This window comes from Homo sapiens, chromosome 2 (assembly GCF_000001405.40).
Source record: "Homo sapiens chromosome 2, GRCh38.p14 Primary Assembly".
NCBI lineage: Eukaryota > Metazoa > Chordata > Mammalia > Primates > Hominidae > Homo > Homo sapiens.
In genome coordinates this window covers 15,857,100-15,879,369 of record NC_000002.12, presented here as the reverse complement: position 1 = coordinate 15,879,369, position 22,270 = coordinate 15,857,100, and the positions used below count along the sequence as shown (strand labels likewise).

Sequence of the window (22,270 nt, the reverse complement as noted above, 5' to 3'; positions counted from 1 at the left end):
TCCAAGAACAGATGTAAGTCATTCCATTTTACTTTTTTTTTTTTTTTTTTTTGAGACAGAGTTTCGCTCATCACCCAGGCTGGAGTGCAATGGCTCGATCTCGGCTCACTGCCACCTCAGCCCCCAGGATTCAAGCTATTCTCCTGCCTCAGCCTCCCAAGTAGCTGGGATTACAGGCCATGCCTGGCTAATTTCTGTGTTTTTAGTAGAGACGGGGTTTCACTATGTTGGCCAGGCTAGTCTCGAACTCCTGACCTCAGGTGATCCTCCCATCTTGGCCTCCCAAAGTGCTGGGATTATAGGCCCACCCCCAGCCCATTTTTACTTCTACATGCTGTTCTGTTAGACCAGTATACCATACATTTTATTATCTATCGTTAGTGGACTTTTGGTTGTTTCCAGTTTTGCTATTACAAACAGTGCTGGCTGGAACACCCTTAGCTATCTCCTCATGCACAGTTAAGAGTTTTTCTAGGGTGTTCACTAAGGAGCAGGTGTGTTGGAATCCATGTCGATATTTATTAGATGATGCCAAATTATTTTCCAAAGTACTTATACCAATTCTTATTCCTATGTGTAAATATTCTGGCTGCTCCAAACTCTCCAACATTTGATGTTTTCAGACTTTTTAATTTTTGCCACCCTGGTCAGTATTGGCAATACCATTTTATTGGTATCTTTTTGTTTTATTTTAATTATAATTAAAATAAATTGTTTTATAATTGTTTTATTATAATTTTTAAAAATTATAATTTTTAAAAATTTATCTTAAGACAAACTCATTATAATTTTAAATTGCATTTTCCTAATTAGTAAGAAAATTGAACAGCTTTTTATGCATTTATTGATCATAAAAGGTGCTCTTTTGTTTGTTTGTTTGTTTTGTTTTTATTGTACTTTAAGTTCTAGGGTACATGTGCACAACGTGCAGGTTTTTTACATAGGTATACATGTGCCATGTTGGTTTGCTTCAACCATCAACTCATCATTTACATTAGGTATTTCTCCTAAAGCTATCCCTCCCCCAGCTCCCCACCCACCGACAGACCCCTGTGTGGTATTCCCCACCCTGTGTCCAAGAGTTCTCATTGTTCAAGTCCCATCTGTGAGTGAGAACATGTGGTATTTGGTTTTCTGTCCTTGCGATAGTTTGCTGAGAATGATGGTTTCCACCTTCATCCATGTCCCTATAAAGGACATGAACTCATCCTTTTTTATGGCTGCATAGTATTCCATGGTGTATATGTGCCACATTTTCTTAATCCAGTCTATCATTGATGGACCTTTGGGTTGGTTCCAAGTCTTTGCTATTGTGAGTAGTGCCGCAATAAACATACATGTGCCTGTGTCTTTACAGTAGCATGATTTGTAATCCTTTGGGTATATACCCAGTAATGGGATCGCTGGTTCAAATGGTATTTCTAGTTCTAGATCCTTGAGGAATCGCCACACTGTCTTCCACAATGGTTGAACTAATTTACAGTCCCACCAACAGTGTAAAAGTGTTCCTATTTCTCCACATCCTCTCCAGCATCTGTTGTTTCCTGACTTTTTAATGATCACCATTCTAACTGGTGTGAGATGGTATCTCATTGTGGTTTTGATTTGCATTTCTCTGATGACCAGTGATGATGAGCATTTTTTTCATGTGTGTGTTGGCTACATAAAAGTCTTCTTTTGAGAAATGTCTGTTCATATCCTTTGCCCACTTTTTGATGGGATTGTTTGTTTTTTTCTTGTAAATTTGTTTAAGTTCTTTGTCAATTCTAAATATTAGCCCTTTGTCAGATGGGTAGATTGTAAAAATTTTCTCCCATTCTGTAGGTTGCCTGTTTTTTTTGTCATGGAAGATCCTTGTTAGGTGAAGTGGCTCTTGAAGTCTTACTGAATTACTTATGGAGTTGATTTTATTATGTGGATAATAATCAATGCTTTCTCTTTATAGTATCCATCAAACAGGAGTTTTCCATTTTAAGGTAGTCAAATGTATTTAACTTTTCTTTATGACTTGTATGTTTGGTAATTTGTACATTATGAGACTTATTCAAGAAAGCTGCCTTTCTTAAGATAAAAAATATATTCTCCTATACTTCATTCTAAATCTTATAGTTTTGTCACTTTATAGCTTTAATTCATTTGGAATTAATTTTTGTGTATGGTGTGAGGTAGGGGGTCCAATGCCATATTTGCCATATAAATAACCAATTGTGTGAACACCACTTATGGAAAATTGCTTCCTTTCCCCTCTGATTTGCAATGCCTGCTCTGTCACAAATCCAGCTCCATATATGTGTGTGAGTCTGCTCCTGGCCTCCCTAGTCTGATCTTACTTGTCTTCTTGATAGTCAATCTGAGTTTCCCTGCACAAGTGCTAGATTGGCTTCATTATCATGGCTTTATGACAATGCTTGCTATTTGATAAGATCTGACAAGTCCAGTGCTTTGTTCATCATCTTCAGTATTGTCTGGGATATTGGCCTTTTGCTCTTCCATATACATTTTAGAATCAAATACTATTCTAAAATAGGGTAATTTCTATTTCCCAGGATGTTGTGAGGATTTAATCAAATGATGTATGGAAAGTGTCTACCATAATTCATAGGTACTTGGTAAAAGGCTGGGGAAATAAGCTGGTGGTGTCACCTTGGGGAAGGTATTCCACTCTCTGGGCCTGCTCTGCATCTGTGGCATGGTCTGACACTGGCTCCTTTCATATACCACAGAGTTGATGTGGGAGTATAGGTGAGAGAAGAGATGTGAGAATAGTTTTCAGACTGTAAGTTGAACTTTGTATTGGTCCCATGGGGATTATCAAGCTGTTATCAATATGATTACAAAGTCCTTGGATGAATGAGAATTGACACTGGGGCCTCACCAAATACTGTGCAAACTTGGGCAATTTTCATGGTCACATTCTTTTTAAGAAATGTTTCTAGGCCATGTGCAGTGGCTCAGGCCTGTAATCTTAGCACTTTGGGAGGCCAAGGGGGGAGGATGGCTTGAGCTCAGGAGTTCAAGGCCAGCCTAGGCAACATAGCCAGACCCCTGCCTCTACAAAAAAATCAAAATAGCTGGGTATGATGGCATACACGTGTGGTCCCACCTACTCAGGAGGCTGAGATGGGAGGATCACTTGAGCCTGGGAAGTCAATGCTGCAATGAGCTGTGATCACATCACTGCACTGCAGCCTAGGCTATAGAGTGAGACCCTGTCTCAAAAAAAAAAAATTTTTTTTTTTAGTTTTATGAGTACTGTGAAGGCCTTTACCTGCTAGAGTGCAGCGCCATCATCTTGACTCATGGCAACCTCTGCCTCCTGGGTTCAAGCGATTCTTTTGCCTCAGCCTCCTGAGTAGCTAGGCTTACAGGTGCCTACCACCATACCCAGCAAATTTTTGTATTTTTAGTAGAAACGGGGTTTCACCATGTTGGCCAGGCTGACCTCAAGTGATTTGCCCACCTCAGTCTCCCAAAGTGCTGGGATTACAGGCCTGAGCCACTGTGCTCAGCCTACCTGCACATGTTTCTTATTCCAGTGACACACATGTGCTTAGCTCACTGAGATGGTTGCCAGTAGTTGCTTCCTGGTTCCTGAACTATAAGGATAGGAATTTTGATACAAAAATCAAATATTGTGGTACAGTTGACTTTGCTCCCCAACTTCCAGCTGCCCTTGAGATGCTTCCAAGCTCACCCAGCAGCCTATGGTCCCAACACTTATCACTGAGCACCTCTCCCTCGCCTGGACTGCCTGTTCCTCTGGGCAGCTGGTGGACCTTTGCTCCTGGTCCGCAGAGCTCTTGGAAGACATCACTGTGCTCACTTCTCTCACAGGACCCCACCCAGTCCTGAGACAACCCTGGGATGCAACTGGGGGCTGGAGAGGCAGAACAATGTTTTGTTAGTTAGAAGGACTTGGATTCCAGACCCGGCTCTTGCTCTTCTGGGCTCTGTGACTAGGGGCATATGATTTCTACTGTCTGTAATTTCCCTCATGAAAAATGGGGATGGTACTACTTAATCTTCTGCAAGAATGCCTGTCAGGCACCTGGCGTGGGGCCTAGTGTGCACTAGGTCATCATTTTGGCCAAACACACTCAGTAAATGGTGACTGAGTAACTGAGACAGGGCAAAGTGTGAGGCATGTTTGGGTGGTGAAGCTAAGTAATGGTTCATTTTGGGGGTGGTGTGGATATGTGGATATGTGTACCTGGGGCATTCATAGTTGGAAGTGATGCTGGGAGTGACTATTAAGGTCAAATTTTGGGAACTTTGAATGTTAGACTTACGAAGCTGGACTTTATTCTGGCTGTGTTTGATTCAGCTTAACTCTCTTTACTAAAACATTTTCACTTGCTTCCCAGCCCAGACTGTGGGCACTTTGATAACGATGCCTGTGGCCAGGTTCAATGACCTGGGGAATGACCTTCAATTCTATCTCCCACTCCTGGCACTCCAGGTTCCCCTTGGGATTTTACGCCTGTTGCTTTATGCCTGAATTATTCTTCACATGGACTCCTCATTGCTTACTCTGCCTGGGTTTTTATTTTCGTCACCGTTGAATGGTTCTTTTAGTTTTTATCCACAAAAGCCTATGGGCATACTGTGCTCTTTGCAAATTCACTGTCTCCCTGGACCTGCCCTTCCAGCACTGGCGTCTCCTTGCTGCCTGGGAGGAGAGGTGGAGAGTTGTCATCAGGGAGCCAGTGAAGAATTCTCCAGCAGGTAAATGATTCAGTCAGACCAGGCGATCACCTTGGGTGAATCAGAGAAGTGAATTGTCTCTCCAGGCTCCTAGGAAGAAATGAAGCAGCTGTAGTGACTGGTATGGGGAAGTGGGAGGTGGCTATGTGGAAGGTTCATTGTGTTAAACATGCAGTGTGTGTAGGGAGAAATACCCTAGCCATCAAGCACGGTTTGACCTGCCTGATCCTCCTGGTGGCTAGAATCTTACCTGCTCTTGTCTAGGGGTCTACCTGACCCATATCATAACATCTGGAGATAGAGATAGATCCACTTTTGTGGTGTCTGAAGCTTATGCAGTTTGGGAGATCCTCTTTAAAAAAAGAATATAGAATTACAAATTTAATAAATGCGTACAAAAGTGAGCATTTATCCTGAATGAGAAAAGAAATCACGTCAAATTATAAATCTTTAAAAAATCTGAAAAGCACAACAAACACTTCAAAATCCAGAAAAATAATATACTTTTATTAATTAATTATCCTACAACTGTTATAATACCCTTTTCTTATATTCTTTTGCTGCATCCCATGTGATTTTGTAGTATTTTCTATGGGAAAATAGACAATTGTTTTCTTTTTCTTTTTCTTTTTTAGACAGAGTCTTACTCTGTTGCCCAGGCTGGAATACAATGGCACGATCTCAGCTCACTGCAACCTCAGCCTCCCAGGTTCAAGTGATTCTCCTGCTTCAGCCTCCCAAATAACTGAGACTGCAGGTGCACGCCACCACGCCCAGCTAATTTTTCGTATAGAGACAGGGTTTTGCCATGTTGGCCAGGATGGTCTCGAACTCCTGGCCTCAAGTGATCTATCTGCCTTGGCCTTCCAAAGTGCTGGGATTACAGGTGTGAGCCACCGCACCTGGCCGGATAATTGTTTTCTATAACATAATTGATCAAACTTTGGGCTTTATTTTTCTAGGTTTAGAATACTTTTTTTTTTTTTTTTTTTGAGACAGAGTTTCACTTTTGTTGCCCAGGCTGGAGTGCAGTGGCATGATCTAGGCTCACTGCAACCTCCGCCTCCGGGGTTCAAGCGATTCTCCTGCCTCACCCTCCCGAGTAGCTGGATTACAGGCACCCACCACCACTCCCAGCTAATTTTTTGTGTTTTTAGTAGAGACGGAGTTTCACCACGTTGGCCAGGCTGGTCTCAAACTCCTGACTTCGGGTTGTCCCCCTGCCTCGGCCTCCCAAAGTGCCGGGATTACAGGCATGAGCCACCGTGCCCAGCCAAAAAGTTTCTTTAAGCTTTAGAACTCAATTAGGAAAGTTATGTAAATCTTTAGGATTGTGGTCAAACCTGAGAAAATTTCTAATTTCTTTTCTCTACTATTATAGATATATTGATTATTGGTGTTACTACCCCAGATTTGTGTCCTATAAACAGGGGAATTCTGACGAATTTTATTTCATGCAACTTCTATCAAAAATGAAAAAAGGATATGGTGTGTTTGTAATTGTATATGCTGTATTATTTAGAATATTCTATTTTTTTTGTTGTTGTTGTTTTGTTTTTGTTTTTTTCCTGCGACAAAGTCTCACTCTATCGCCCAGGCTGGAATGCAGTGGCGCCATCTCAGCTCACTGCCTCTGCCCCCTGGGTTCAAGTGATTCTCCTGCCTCAGCCTCCTGAGTAGCTGTGATTACAGACATGAGCCACCGCGCTGAGCTAGAATATTCTTGATGGGAAAAATTTGACTAGGCATCAGTGAGAACCTGATTACAATCTTATACATGTGCTGACTGGGAGATGTTCCCATAGGCTAGCTTCTGGCTCTGTGTATTTCAAACTTTGCTTCTGCTCCACTACCCACATACTTCTGATGTTGAACACATGTGTACACTGTAATACAGCCACACCATGTGGGGAGTTGGCACTGTGGCCGATAGGGAGAGTTCCACCAGCCCGCCTCCACCAGGATGGCTTTTAATAACCCAGTGTATCCAGAGGGGACTCTAAATCACATAGTATATTTCAGTAAACCCAAATGTAACCTCAACTGGAAAAAAGAGGTAGTCTAACACAAGGAAAATGTGATGGAGGGGAAGTTGAGGTGGAAGAAAGGGGACAGTCTTGCCTGATTGGGATTAAGTTATCTTTCTTTTGAAAATGTTATCAAGGCCCATGACTATGCCAGAAATTCCCTGGAGGTTCCCAGGGCCCTAGAAGAGGCATGACAAGTGAGAGACCCTAAATGTAAGCTTCACGGTATGTACGTCTTCACTTAAAGGAGTTCTTTAACTCAGAACTTTATAAAAATGACAGAATGACTGAGTTATGCTCTTGAATGGGATCAGTTTAGAATCTGATCCTGTTAATACTTTATAATTCCAGCTGGATTTTGCTGGAAACCTTTACAAAGGTAAGGCTCCTGAAAGGAACTACTCCTCAGAAAGTCTATGGCTAATTTGATTCCCACTGTGTCCTCAGCACAGAACCTGCCACATCATGAGCATTTACTGGATGTCTGTTGAAGGAATATATTTGTCCCTGAGAGGAAGTTTCTGGTTTCCTGTGGGTGCCTGGCCTGCATCCCCTCTTCCGGGTATTCCATGCTTATCTTGTCCTGGGCCTGCTTGATCTAGGAGGATGTCACTATATTAATCCATTCCCATGCTGCTATAAGGACTTACCCGAGGCTGGGTAATTTATAAAGGAAGGAGGGTTAATGGACTCACAGTTCCACATGGCTGGGGAGGCCTCACAATCATGGTGGAAGGTGAATGAGGAACAAAGTCACATCTTACACGGTGGCAAGCAAGAGAGCATATGCAGATGAACTCCCCTTTATAAAACCCTCAGATCTCATGATACTTATTCACTATCAAGAGAACAGCATGGGAAAAGCCTGCCTCCATGATTAAATTGGCTCCTGCTAGAACCCTCCCATGACACGTGGGGATTAAGGAAGCTACAATTCAAGATGAGATTAGGGTGGGGACGTAGCCAAACCATATCAGTTGCTTTTGACATAAGAAGGACCTCTTTTCTAACCTATTTTTTACAGGTAACTTTAAATCTATAACTTCCTTCCTTTTGCTGAGAAGGCTCTGTTTTCACTACTACATCGGGAGCCAGTTTTGCTACTATATCAGGAGTTTGTTTTTAATTAACAGAAAATGACTTTTCTTTCCCTTTTCTGTGCCATTTCTCTTTTTAATCCTAGTTCCCTCCAATCTGAGGGCTGAGTGATCCTGTTTCCCTCCCATTTGAGGGCTGAGTATCCACCTGGTTTTCTCTTGGTCCTGCTCATATTCTGATGATGGGGGTCATTTTGCTAAATCCTAGCTCCTGATGGCTGAATAAGTCACTTCCAGATTGACATCCAAATGACACATATGTGATGAGATAAAACTTTGAAATAGTAATCTTGGAGCTTTCCTTTTTTGCCATCTCCCACACTACCTGGCCTTCTTCTTTTAGACATAGGCATCCAAACGTCTCCAGATGAGGGTTAGCAGTAACACAAAGAGAACGAAACCATATCTGCTTCTTGTGTTATTACTTCCAAACTAGGGTCTTGCAAATCGTCTTTCCAGACAATAGAAGGAGAGATGACACCTAGATGAAGGGCACTGGGCAGGAGGGAAGAAAGAGGAGTGGGCAGAACAACACAGGCATTAGCTGGGAGACCCCACAGTACAGGTGACACAAGGTCTTGGTGACAGACTGCCCTGTCTGAATGTGTGAGGAACTAGCGCCTCGACCATGAGAAAACCACACACACTTCTCAACTTTGGTTTAAAATGTGGACTATAACAAACACATGCAAAAGAACACAGTGTATCAATGTAGAGCAAAATAAATACATTTGCAGTGCGCACCTGTGTGCCCATCACCCAGGCAAGAGCTAGAACATCGGGATGGCCCTAGCAGCCCCCTGGGTGCTCTCTCCCTGGTTACACCCCCTTCCCTAACGCCTAAAAGTAACCATATCCATGGTTACTTTTTATGGTAAACAGTTCCTTGTTTCTTTATAGTTCTACCACCTGTGTGTGTGTGTGTGTGTGTGTGTGTGTATACACAATGTAGCTTTGTTTTGCCTGACTAAACATTGTATTAAAGCAATCATACTATCTATGCACTTCAAGTCTTTTTTTTTCACTCAGTATGCTTTTAAAATTCATCTGTTCTATTGCATTTCACAGGGTTTCATTAATTTTCATTGTTACATGGAAGTGCATTGTATGAATGTATGACATCTTTAATCCATTCCATTGTTTATGGATATTTTTGTTGTTCTCGGTTTTTTAATCACAAACAGTGTACCTATGAACATTCTTACACTGGGTCTTGTGTATATATGCAAGATTTTTTTAATTTTTAAATTAAATTTATTTTAAGTTCAGCTTTTTATTGACCACATTATGAAAGAGGTTTAGTCAAAAACCCAAAGCCCATGTCATCATCAGATCCTCGGATTCTTCTTTCTTTGCTTCCACTTTCTTCCTCAGCTGGAGCAGCACCAGCTACTGGAGCAGGTCCACCAGCTCCTACATTGCAGATGAGGCTCCCAATGTTGACGCTGGCCAGGGCCTTTGCCAACAAGCTAGGCCAAAACAGTTCAACATTTACACCGCCTGCTTTAATGAGGGCATCGATCTTATCCTCCGTGACGGTCACTTCATCGTTGTGCAGAATGAGGTCCGAGGAGATGCAGGTAAGCCGGGAGATGGAGGCCATGGTGGGGGCGAGTGTGGGGCTGGTGCTGCTGAACACGGTGCTAGTCGCCGGATGAAGTGAGGACCTCACCCTAACACGGCTTTAGCTTCCTCGGAAGGACTGAGCACCTTGATGGCAGCTGAGGAAAGGCAAGAATTTTTTTTAGAGTATACATCCAGGAATGGATTTGCAGGGTCTTACATAAGATATGTGTTTTCAGCTGTCGTTGGTAATGCCAAATTGTTTTCCAAAGTGTTGTATGTGTTTACGTTCCCACCAGCAATGTGTGAGTGTTTTTCTTGCCACATGCCCTCTCTAATACTTGTTCTTGTCAGACTTTTTTTTTTTCCAGTTTAATGGGAAAATATTAAATTGGAATGGTCGCAAAATCTTGATGATGAATGAGATTGAAAATCTCTACATTTGTGTTTTTCCTTCTATGTAATATCTGTTATGGTCTTTGCCTATTTTTTTTTTAACTAGGTGATATGGTTAGGCATTGTGTCCTCACCCAATCTCATTTTGAATGATAATCCCCATAATCCCCACATGTCAAGGGAGAGACCAAGTGAAGGTAATTGAATCATGGTGGCAGTTTCCCCCATGCTGCTCTCATGATAGTAAGTTTTCAGAAGAGCTGATATTTTTATAAAGGGCTTCCCCCTTCACTTGGCACTTCTCCTTCCTTCCACCTTGCGAAGAAGGTGCCTTGCTTCCCCTTCGCCTTCCGTCATGATTGTAAGTTTCCTGAGGCCTCCCCAGCCATGCTGAACTGTGAGTCAATTAAACCTCTTTCTTTTATAAATTACCCAGTCTTGGGCAGTTCCTTATAGCAGTATGAAAATGGACTAATACACTAGGTTGTCTATCTCATTGATATGAAGTTCTCTTTTTCTAATATTTTGGATAAAAGCCCTTTGTTGGTTATATATACTGCAATTTTCTCTCATTTCTTGGCTTATATTTTCCTTTTTATTTTTATTTTTTGATACAATCTCACTCTGTTGCCCAGGCTGGAGTGTAGTGGCATGATCATGGCTCACTGCAGCCTCAACCTCCTCGGGCTCATGTGATTCTCCCACCTCAGCCTCCGGGTAGTTGGGAACTATAGCCACCAGGACCAGCTAATTTTTTTGTATTTTTTGTGGAGACATGGTTTCACCATGCCACCCAGGCAGGGGATTTTCCTATTAATGATGCCTTTTGAACTGAAGTGTTTTAATACTTTCATATTGATCATTTTTTCATTACAGATAATGCTTTTTTAATCTCATTGAGAAATCTTTCCCTACCCAGAAGCTATAAAGACATTCACCCATTTCATTTTTATTTATGTAAACTTCTTAACACATTAATTCTTTATCTTAGCACAATTTTATTCCTCTGCCCTTTGGCTTTCGTTGTTCCTGTTGTGAGGTCAGGTGCCAATTTCATTTTCTCTCTTGTGAAGTCATCTCTTTTCTTTTTGGTTCACCTACTACAACATTTTGGCTGTATGTATGTATGTATGAATATTTTCAAACACTAAAAAAAGTTAAAAGAACAGAACAGTGAACATGATGACACTTATCCCAAGGTTTAGCCATTGTTAACAATTTTTCCTGACTGTATCTTAAGATCTCTTTTTCTTTGATGTTCTCTAGTTTAATTATCATGTATTTTGTTATTTATTTCATTTAGTTTTCCTGCTTGGGATTCACTGGGCTTCTGGAATCTTCTGGATTGATATCTTTCATCAATTCTGGAAAACCAATATGAGTTTTCTTTTTATTTATTCTTTTTTTTTTTTTTTTTTTTTCAGATGGAGTCTCTCTCTGTGGCCCAGGCTGGAGTGCAGTGGCATGATCTCAGCTCACTTCAACCCCTGCCTCCTGGGTTCAAGTGATTCTCTTGCCTCAGCCTCCCGAGTAGTTAGGATTACAGGCATCCGCCACCACACCTGGCTAATTTTTGCATTTTCAGTAGAGACGGGGTTTTGCCATGTTGGCCAGGATGGTCTCCATTGAACTCCTGACCTTGTGTGCTCCGTCCACTCTGGGCTCCCAAAGTGTTAGGATTAAAGGTGTGAGCCACCGCACCTGGCCCCAATATCAGTTTTCTACTACTGCATAACAAACTGCCCCCAAACTTAGTGGCTGAAAACAATAGCACCATCTATTTTGTCATCCAAACAAGTCTGCAGTTTGGATAGGTGTCTGAGGGGACAGCGTGCCTCAGAGGCACAGAGGCAGCTCAGGAAAGAATAGCTAGGATGGCTCAGGGCCAGCAAACAGATGTTGATGTTGAGTGGTTTTCTCTGCCTGTTTTCTAAGAATAGCAGTTCAGAAGTTCAAAGATTTCTTTGTATTTTGTACTCTCGCTGTCTCTTTTAGTCCAAACTGATGAAATTCCTTTAAAACTTTGTGGACTTCTTATGAATCAGTTTATAAATTCACTCCTTTAGACAAAAGCCATGCCCACAGATTTCATAGAGATCATCTCTACTTTGAGCTCCTTGTGAAATTTTCAGAAGCCCAGTTGTTTAACAGAGAAGGCCAGTGAGGCACAGTATGAAGACCCTTAAAAGGGCCTTTGGTGTGTTTGAAAGGGTCTATGGTGCACCACCTTAAATCTAACTGAGGTTTTAACAAAGGTTTTAGAGTTAAATCCTTGGCTTCATCTTTACACCATATTCTTGTGACGGTGCTCTGAATTTGCTGTTTGCCTGAAAGCCATTCTTAATTAGAGAATCATTTATATCATTTATAATAGAGAGGCTGGAATGAGAAACATTTTTATTTCCAAACATAGTAAGTCCTGCCCCCCGATTTTTTTTAAACTAGAATTTATTTTTTTAGAGCAGTTTTGGATTCAGAGCAAAATTAAATGGAAAATACAGAGAGTTCCCACATACTCCTCCCTGACCACATATACACAACCTTCCCACCATCAACATCCCAATCAGTGTGGTGCATTTGCTACAGTTAATGAGCCAGCATTGACACATTATCAACCAAAGTTCGTGTTTTACATTAGGGTTCACTCTTTGTGTTATACATTCTCTGGGTTTTAAGTGTAGAATAGCATCCATTCATTATTATAGTACCAGAGAATAGTTTCACTGCCCGAAGACTCCCCTGTAGTCCACCTATTCATCTCTTCCTCCTCCCAAACCCCTGGCAACCATTCATCTTTTTACTGTCTCCACAGTTTTGCCTTTTGCAGAATGACATATAGTTGGAATCATACAGTATGTAGCCTTTTCAAGTTTGCTTCTTTCAATTAGCAATATGCATTTAAGATTCCATCATATCTTTTCATGGCTTGATGGCTCATTTCTTTTTATTGTTGAATAATAGCTATTTTATCTATGTACTGGTTTATTTATCCATTTACCTTTTAAAGGACATCTCAGTTGCTTTCAAGTTTTGGCAATTATGAATAAAGCTGCTATAAACATGCGTGTGCAGGTTTTTGCATGGATGTTTTAATTCACTTGAGTAGCCTTTTTTATATTTTAAAGTTATTCATTACTTTATCTCTCTGCTCTCTCATTTTTTATAGACTACTTGGAGAAACCAGGCAGCAGCACTCTGCCTGGAAATTTTCTTAGCTAGATAATCAGTTGATTAGGTAAATAGGTACATTTTATTTTATTTTTTTATTCATACCATTTTACTTAGTTCTAATTTTTTTTTTAATGTAAATTGTCAGTTTATAATTGTATATACTTATGGGGTACAGAGTAGTGTTATGATTTATGAGTACAATGTGCAGAATTAAACCAAACTCATGGTATATTTTCTATTTATATGTTATTACAGGTGATAATGTTGTTAAACTTTATGTTACTGGACCCAAGAGTCTTTTTTCTAGATTCCAATAAGCCTCTCTTGCATTTCTTTTAAGTCCTCACCAGCAGCCTCTGCAAGCCCTTTTGGCTTCCACTCACCATCTGGTCCCAAAGCCAATGTTACATTTTTAGGTTGTATGTGTGTGAGTGTGTGTGTGTGTGTGTTTTAATATGGCGACATCACACTCCTGGTATCACAACTTATTCCAGTTATCTACTGCTTCATAAAAAACTACCTAAACTTAGTGGCCTAAAACAACAATGATTTGTTTTGCTCATGAATTTGCGATTTGGGTGAGGTCCAGTGAGGATGCGTCTCTGCTGCTCCTGTGGCGTCAGTTAGGGCATTTTCTCACTCCTGTCCTAACGGAACTCCAGTCTGAGCATGTTTTAGTCCTTCTCACCCACTTTTTCACATCTTTTAGCCTTTCTTTCTTTGTTTCTGTGCTGCACTCTAGATCATTTCTTGATATTCCAATTTACCTATTTTCCCTCTTGGATTTAATCTTCATTTAAACCCACCCATTCAGGGTGTGTGTGTGTGTGTGTGTGTGTGTGTGTGTGTGTGTGTGTGTGTATATGTATGTGTGTATGTGTGTGTTTTGAGACAGAGTCTCAGCTCACCGCAACCTCCGCCTCCTGGGTTCAAGCAATTCTCTTGCCTCAACCTCCCTGGTAGCTGGGACTATGCCTGGCTGATTTCTTTTCTTTTTCTTTTTTTTGAGACAGAGTCACTCTGTCGCCCAGGCTGGAGTGCAGTGGCACCATACTGGCTCACTGCAACCTCCGCCTCCCAGGTTCAAGAGATTCGCATGCCTCAGCCTCCAGAGTAGCTGGGATTGCAAGTGTGAGCCACCATGCCCAGCTAATTTTTGTAATTTTAGTAGAGAGGGGGTTTCAGCATGTTGGCCAGGCTGGTCTCGAACTCCTAACCTCAAGTGGTCTGCCCTCCTTGGCCTCCCAAAGCGCTGGGATTACAGGTGTGAGCCACCATGCCCAGCCCACATATTCAGTTTTTAACTTCAATTTTAACTTGCTTCTTTCAATAATGTGTTTGACTTTTTTTTTTAATCATTAGCCCTGCTAAAGCGAGACCTCAAAAAATTAGTTTAAAAAGTCTGAGGTGTTCCTCTCCATGGGACTCTTTAGTAAAAGGCAAAAGATTTATATGATCTGAAGAGAAACTAGAGCATTGTTTGACTTTTATTACAGTATAATTTGCAAACAATAAAATGCATATATTTTAAGTGAACAATTTGGTCAGTTTTGACAAATACATACACATCTGTAACCATTATCCCAATTAAAATAGAGAGTACAGTTGACCCTTGAACCGCATGGGGGTCAGAGGTGTCAACCCTCCAATGAGGTTGAAAATCCATATATAACTTTTGTCTTCCCCAAAACTTAAATACTAACAGCCTACTGTTGACCAGAAGCTTTGACAAATAATATAAACAACACAAATTTTGCATGTTATATGTATTATATACTGTATTATAACATTAAAGTAAGCAGACAAAAGAAAATGTTATTAAGAAAACCATAAGGAAGAGAAAATATATTTACTATCATTCAGCGGAAGTGGATCATCACAAAAGCCTTCATCCTCATTGTCTTCATGTTGAGTAGGCTGAAGGGGAAGAGGAAGGGCTGAACTTGCTGTCTCAGGGGTGGCAGAGGCAGAAGAAAATCTGTTTATAAGTGGACCCACACAATTCAAGTGTCAACTGTATATCCATATATGAGATGAAGTATCCATCTATATTCCATCTACTCCATATATGTATATGCAATGGACATACACGTTTCTATCAATTTACTTATATAGAGTACATCCTATTTTATATGGACTATAAAACGTACAGAGTATATCCATCATTTATTTCTTTTGCAGTCAATACCAGCCAGCACTTTCTCCCCAGGTCACCACTGATCTGGTTTCTATCATTATATATTAGCTTTACCTGCCCTAGAACTTCTTCACACACACGATATCACTCAGTATGCACTCTTCTGTGTCAGGTTTCTTTTCTTCTCAGCAGAATAATTTTGAGATTTATTCATGTTGTTGCGAGTATCAGTAGTTCTTTTGATTGTATGAACATAACACAATTTGTTTATTCACTTAGTATTAATAAACATTATGGGCTTTTCCCACAGATTTTAATTATTATGAATAAAGCTACTATGAATATTGCACACAAATATTTTCTGGGGACATGTGTTTTTATTCTTTCTGGGTAATTAGGTAATTACCTAGGAGTGGAATTGATGAGTGATAAGGAAAGTTTATGTTTAATTGTATAAAGCCAAACTATTTTCCAAAGCGTTTGTCCCGTTTTATACTCTCACCAGCAATATATAGAAATTTTGTTGCTTCACATCTTTGCCAATGCTTGGTATTGTAAGTCTTTTTTAAAAACCTTTTACCCATTCCACTTGTTCTGTAGTAGTATTTCATTATAGTTTTAATTTGCATTTCCCCATGACTAAAGATGTTGAACATCTTTTTATGTGTTCATTGGCCACTCATGTAATTTCTCTTTAAAGCGTCTGTTAAATCTTTTGCCAGTTTTAAAATTGGGTTGCTTGTCCTCTTATTGAGTTGTAAACTTCTTTATATAGTCTAAATATAAGTCCTTCATTAACTATATCCACTGCAAATATTTTCTCTCTGTCCTTTCATTTAAAAAAATGCTTTTTTTAATTGTTTGTTTTTATTTTTATTAAAGTTATACATACAAGCACATAGATTTAAGAATCAAACAATTCTATAATTGTGTTATTTTTAAAAAGATAAGAAAAGCAGACACTACTCTCAGAGTGCTTGGAGGCACCTCTTTTAGCTTTTCTTTTTTTTTTTTTTTTAAGTTTACCTCTTCGACTGTAGATGACATGCTTTTTGGTGAACTTTGGTTTAGTATTACCCTCTGACTTCCCACCATGGAGGACGAGGGTTTAGCTCTTTCCTGTGCACACACATATTCTTTTCTTCCCCCCATCTTTCCAATATAGTTATGCCATAATTTTGTCTAGCTCAATATTCAACTTACATTATTGAGATTATGTGGAAACTGCACAATTGAGCCATGTAGTAACCTTTCAATACTTTTCCTTTCTCATATAATATTGTTTAATTGTCCCATTGGCTTAGTTTTCATGTGTTTATCACCAATTCAACTCCAGACTCGTTGCTGATTGTCTAAATCTCTCTCAAGTTGTTCATCCTTATGAAGCAGCCCTTCCCCAGAACATCTGACTTGCTACAATCTGGACTGGTTGCTCTCCATGTCATCCTGGGGATTCCCGTCATCTGTGTTAGAGCTCCTGATGTCTTCCTTTTTCAGCACTGGCTCCATGTTGGCAGCGAACATCCTCCAGGAACTAATTGCCCATGCAACTACAACAGACTCCTAAAACCTCTACCTCCTTCAGCCATGCTGGCTCCTTCCAATTCATCCTCCTCATGGCAGCTAGAGGATCTTCTTAATTGTGATGCCCCACAGCTCGTGAAGCCTCAAACACCAAAAACATGCTTTTAAAAACATTCTGTTGGGCTGGGCTCGGTAGCTCACGCCGGTAATCCCAGCACTTTGGGAGGCCAAGGTAGGTGAATCACCTGAGGTCAGGAGTTCGAGGCCAGCCCAGCCAACACGGTAAAACCCTGTCTCTACTAAAAATACAAAAATTAGCTGGGCTTGGGGGCAGGAACCTGTAATCTCAGCCACTCTGGACGCTGAGGCAGGAGAATCACTTGAACCCAGGAGGCGGAGGTTGCAGTGAGCCAAGATTGCCCCATGCACTCCAGCCTAGGCAACAAAGTGAAACTCTGTCTCAAAAAAAAAAAAAAAAAAAAATCTGTCACTATCACCTCACCCTGCTCTGTTTTTCCCTGTAGCCCTTCATCACTTGACACATTAAAATGTATTTATTTGTCCATTCTGCTTTCTCTACTAGAATGTAAATTTCACAAATACAGAAACTTTGTTTCTTTACTCAGTGCTGAATCTCCAGCACCTGGAACATTATGTGGTATCTAAAAAACATTGCATAACTATTTTTTTTTCCTGCAGTGAGAACTTTGGACTCCATTTATTACAAGAATAATAGATTGGAGGAATCTGGACCCAACTAATACAAAAAAGGTCCCATTGGAATTATGGCATAACCATTTTTTAAAAAGAATCGATAAAGTCCAATCCTGCCTTTCTCAATGGAGTACTAGAGGCTAAACTGAAATTTTATTTTGGGTATATGTATATTTATTTTGTCGATTTATATCTAAAGTAAAATGTTAGAATACCTGCCTAGTAAAAAAGGTTTGAAAGACTCACCTGGGCAGAAGCAACACTGGATTGTTACAGGGTTAAGGAAAATGCTTCAGGAAAATCATGCCCCTTTAGAGAGAACTTAAAAGATACAGTCTTCAATCACTTTTTTCTAGCTCGTAGCGCTTTTAAAGAAAGAAATGGAGACTGTTTCCTCACCGAGAGTTATACAATGAATGAAGAGCTATTATCTGTGCATGCGCAGTTTGACAATTGCAGCCTTGAATAATGATGTTCATTGAGAGAAGTTTCTGAGGGTCAGAGAGAGGCTGCCATAATAAAATATATTTATAGAATTCTCTTGTCTTGGCTTAGAATAATTTGATAGCCAAATAAAAGTCTTAGCACTAATCTTTTGATCAGAATTCTATGCTTCTTTCTTTTTTTTGGAAACTATTGGACAAAGTGCCAAGTATTCTAATATGTAACCTCTTAATGTACAAATTCAGAATTGTCATGAATTACATGGGAAGACACCATGCTTGCTTTTCTAATGGTTTCACAGGGTAAATTTTGGCTGACCTAAGCCTGGTTTCACCAACTCAATGAGACCTCGATCACTGACCTACCCAACGAGGAAATCCAACTACATGCCTATCCAGTTCAGGTTTCTGTCTTTGGTGGTATCTGAGGGTTTAACTTGGTACTCAACCACTTGGTTTAGTTTACAGATTGAATTATGTACAGATTTGCTAATAGTATATGTATATACTGTGAAATAGTTCTGATGTTAAGTACTGATCCTATCTTTACTGGGTAAAGTCCTTATCCAAAACTAGAATCACTGCCTGGCAAAGTTGATGTTTGTATGAATGGCGTCCCCTGGAGTCTATAATGTGAATGGTGCCCAATCAAGTTGTGCAACTTGGCAGCCCTGGGGCTTATCTCTTCCTCTCTTTGGACAATATTTTTTCATCATTTTCAGTCCAATAGCTTCCCAGTGTCAGTGCTGACAAGCTCCCTGTGGAGTGCTCTCAGTCTCTCCATTTGCAAATGCTCTAAGATCAATCTCTGAAGAGTAGTTGTGTTCTACCCAAACAATAGAGTATAGCAGCTCTTTTTTTCCATTGCTTTGACTGTGGATAGTCTAAGTACCCCAAAATCTGCAAGGATTGTGAAACATTATACAATTGGGTATTTGTGACTCTAAGTGAGAGAAAGAATCTTCTAGATTGCATCCTATCTGGAAAATGCCTCTCTAATTTTTTGTTGCCATTAACTTACTGTTCATTCCCAATATTTTACCATGAAAGTGGGACTTCTGGCCACTGGCCATAGTGTTGCAATTTAGCAGGCTAATTGATAAACCAGCCATGTCTCTCTTACTATTGTACCCTCAGCACCTAGTGTGCAATGCTTGGCACAAACTCAGTTAATGTTTTCTTAACAAAATTAAAATTGAAATTTTGTAAGCTAGGTAGTTAAATAGATTGTGATTTATTTGTATTGGTTTTGCAGTAGAAACAATAGATTGATGCACATTTAATCCAAATGCTGATCTGAATTGATTAAAACAACTAAACAAACACAACCTATGAGTTTGTATTTCATAGAAATCCATAGGGAATTTGTTGTAGGAAATCTTTATCTTAAAGCTTTTCTTTCTGACCAACAAGGGTGTTAGCTACAAGAAGAGCTCCTGAGTTATGGGAATTGATTTCTTAGAAAAATTTCAGAATAGAAGAGGCAATAATGTTCTTTGGAAGTTTGAGATGTAATCTTTTTTTTTTTTTTTTTTTTTTGAGACAGAGTCTCACTCTGTCACCCAGGCTGGAGTGCAGTGGCGTGATCTTGGCTCACTGAAACCTCCACCTCCCAGGTTCAAGCAATTCTCCTGTCTCAGCCTCCCGTATAGCTAGGATTACAGGCGTGCACCATCACACCAGGCTAATTTTTGTATTTTTAGTAGAGATGGGGTTTCAATATGTTAGCCAGGTTGGTCTCAAACTCCTGGCCTCAAGTGATCTGCCTGCCTTAGCCTCCCAAAGTGCTGGGATTACAGATGTGAGTGACTGAGCTCAACCTGAGATATAATCTTAAATTGAATCAGGGTAAAATTTTTTATTAATAACTAATAGACTCACTTATTAATAATTAACTTTATGAGCACTTTTCAGTTAAACATGTGTAATTGTATAAAGTGTATCATTTGAGCCTCACATAAATCTCAAAACTGCGTGATTTTTTTTTAAATTCCTATTTTGAAGATGAGTAAAATTGAGGCTCAAAAAGACACAACTGATTGATTCATATTTACCCAGCTAGCAAGCATTTCAATTCTAAAACAATATTTTTTTCCACCACACTGCTTTATGCATTTTTATGTCGTGAATGAAAATGGAATGATTCATATTGACAGCTTGTTAATTAATGTTTCAGGTGTTGTACCAGGTGTTTGAGACCCAGGGGTACAAAGTAGAATAAGACATCCCTGCAGCATCCATGGGGGATACTGATGGTAGAGAGGCAGTTACCACCATATGAAAGTGCCTGGTGGGAGCAAGCATTGCTGCTGCATGAACACACTGTCATGGAACCCTGCGAGCCTCTCAAGGATGGGGCCATATCACATCTTCTTCTAATAGCCTTAGACTCTTAGACACATAGTGTGTGCTCAGAAAATACTTATTGGATGGAGAGAAGGCGTGTTGATATAAGAAAGAATGAATAAGGTGACTCCTGGATCCCAGTGTGGATAGGAGTTTCCCAAGACATTCCAGGCAGAGGAAATAGTGAGGTCACTGTGCTTTTAGAGGTCACCTGGTTTATAGAGCAGCCACATTGGCTAAGGACATGTCTGTGCTGAAACAATGGGAGGTGGTTTCTTTGTACATCATTCTTCAGTTCCAGCATGTGGTCTCCAGTACTGTTCATTTCACTGTGACGGTGCTGTTAGCTGGGACAGTGAAGAGTTCCACTTTTATAACATAAAAACACTAGAGGTTATTTCTCTCTCTCTCTCCTTTTTTCCCCCCATTACCTTAAGATTGCATTACCTTTCTGTTCAGATCAAGTGCCGCTCTTGAGAGAACAATCTCTGTTTCTGAGCGATTCGTTGAGAACATCGAGTGCCAGACCACACGCTAATTAAAGCTTGTCACATACCATAATGGCACCTCAGTAATACTCCAATTAACAGTTACTTTAATTACACCACTTACATGAAATTAATGAAGAGTCTAGCTGATGAGAAATAAGAACCTGTACATGAGAGCAACACAGAACGTTCATCAAGTTTCTGATGAAACAGCCTTTGAGAAATCTGTTCCCTCCCATTGCCTAGCTTAAAAAAATATTTTCAGGGAGGCAGGAAAGTGGCTTTTTGTAAAATGAGCTGCCAACAGATGAAGAAAGAGTACTCATTCTTGCTGCTGGAAGGGCTAATCACCCAGGCTTTCATGTCTTAGAGACTGAGTTCAAATCCTACACTTGCCCTTTCTAACTGTGCTCTCAGTGAATGAGGAATAGAAGAGAACTTCCTCAACCTGACAAAGGGCATCTAGAAAATACCACCAGCTCACATTGTACTTGATGGTGAGAGACTGGGTATTTTTCCCCTGCAACCATCACTAAGACAGGGAAACCCCCTCTCAAACTTCTATTCAGCATTGTACATTGTACATTGTAGTTTATAGCTAGTGCAGTGAGGCAAGAAAAGAAAAAAACATTGAGATAGAAAAGAAAGAGCAAAACTTTCTTAATTTGCAGACAACATGATAATTTATTAGCAAAGCCAATGAAACCTACAAAACAACTACTAGAATTCATAAGTGAGTTTTGCAAGGTTGTAGGATACAAGATCAATATGTAAAAATCAATTATATTTCTATATACTTTAGGCAACTTTTTAGTCTCCCTGGGTCAGTTTTCTTATCTACGAAATGGCAGCAAATGTATGTTCTTTATAGAGTTGCTTTGAGGGTTAAGAAGATATAGGTTCCTAGGACAAGGTTCAATAAATGTTGGTTTATTCTCATTTTTTTAGAGCATACCAGATGACACCTTCAGTGGTCCTAACATGGTCTTACCTTCCATCTAAGCATGAAAGAATAAATGGTGCTCTAGAGGAGTGTCACTTCAGCCTGGGGTAACACCCAGGGAACCCCTATAGCTGGAAACCATGCAGATGGGCAAGTGTTAAGGGAAGTTCCAAGCCCAGAGACCAAGCTTTCCAAATCTGATCTGTCTCTCTCACCCATTACCCCCACCACTACTCATTCCCATTTCCTTGGCTCAAGCCTGGGTTTTTATAGCCACCTCCTAAACAGTCTTCCTATAATCTTGCTCCTCTTAAATCCAATCTAACCACTGTTGCCAGAGCGGTCTCTTTGTAAGTTAAATCTGATCACCTCTTTGTTCCATGTAAACCCTCTGGTGGCTTTTTATTGCAGTCAGAGTTAAGACCAAGCTTCTTAGCCTGGCTTGTGCACAAAACACTGGGCACTACTTGGACTGAACTACTTCTACTTCTCCCAAAACACCAAGCGTTTTCTAGCTTCCCTACTTTCCTCAATCTGATCCTGCTTCCAGAATTTCTACAACTTTACTCTCCACGCCTGCCAGCCCCACCGAACCATCACCTGGCAATCTACTATGCATCCTTCCAGCCCAACTTAAGCTCATTTTCCCTCTGAAGTCTCTCTGGACTGCTCTGGACCCGACAAATGTGGATGTCCTCCATGCTTCCAAAGAAAGTT

At 40.2% G+C, this 22,270-nt stretch overlaps 2 pseudogenes; both read right to left on the bottom strand.

Annotated features, from left to right (window-relative positions):
- RPLP1P5 (ribosomal protein lateral stalk subunit P1 pseudogene 5) lies at positions 9,090 to 9,560 on the bottom strand (annotated as a pseudogene).
- RNU5E-7P (RNA, U5E small nuclear 7, pseudogene) lies at positions 14,319 to 14,435 on the bottom strand (annotated as a pseudogene).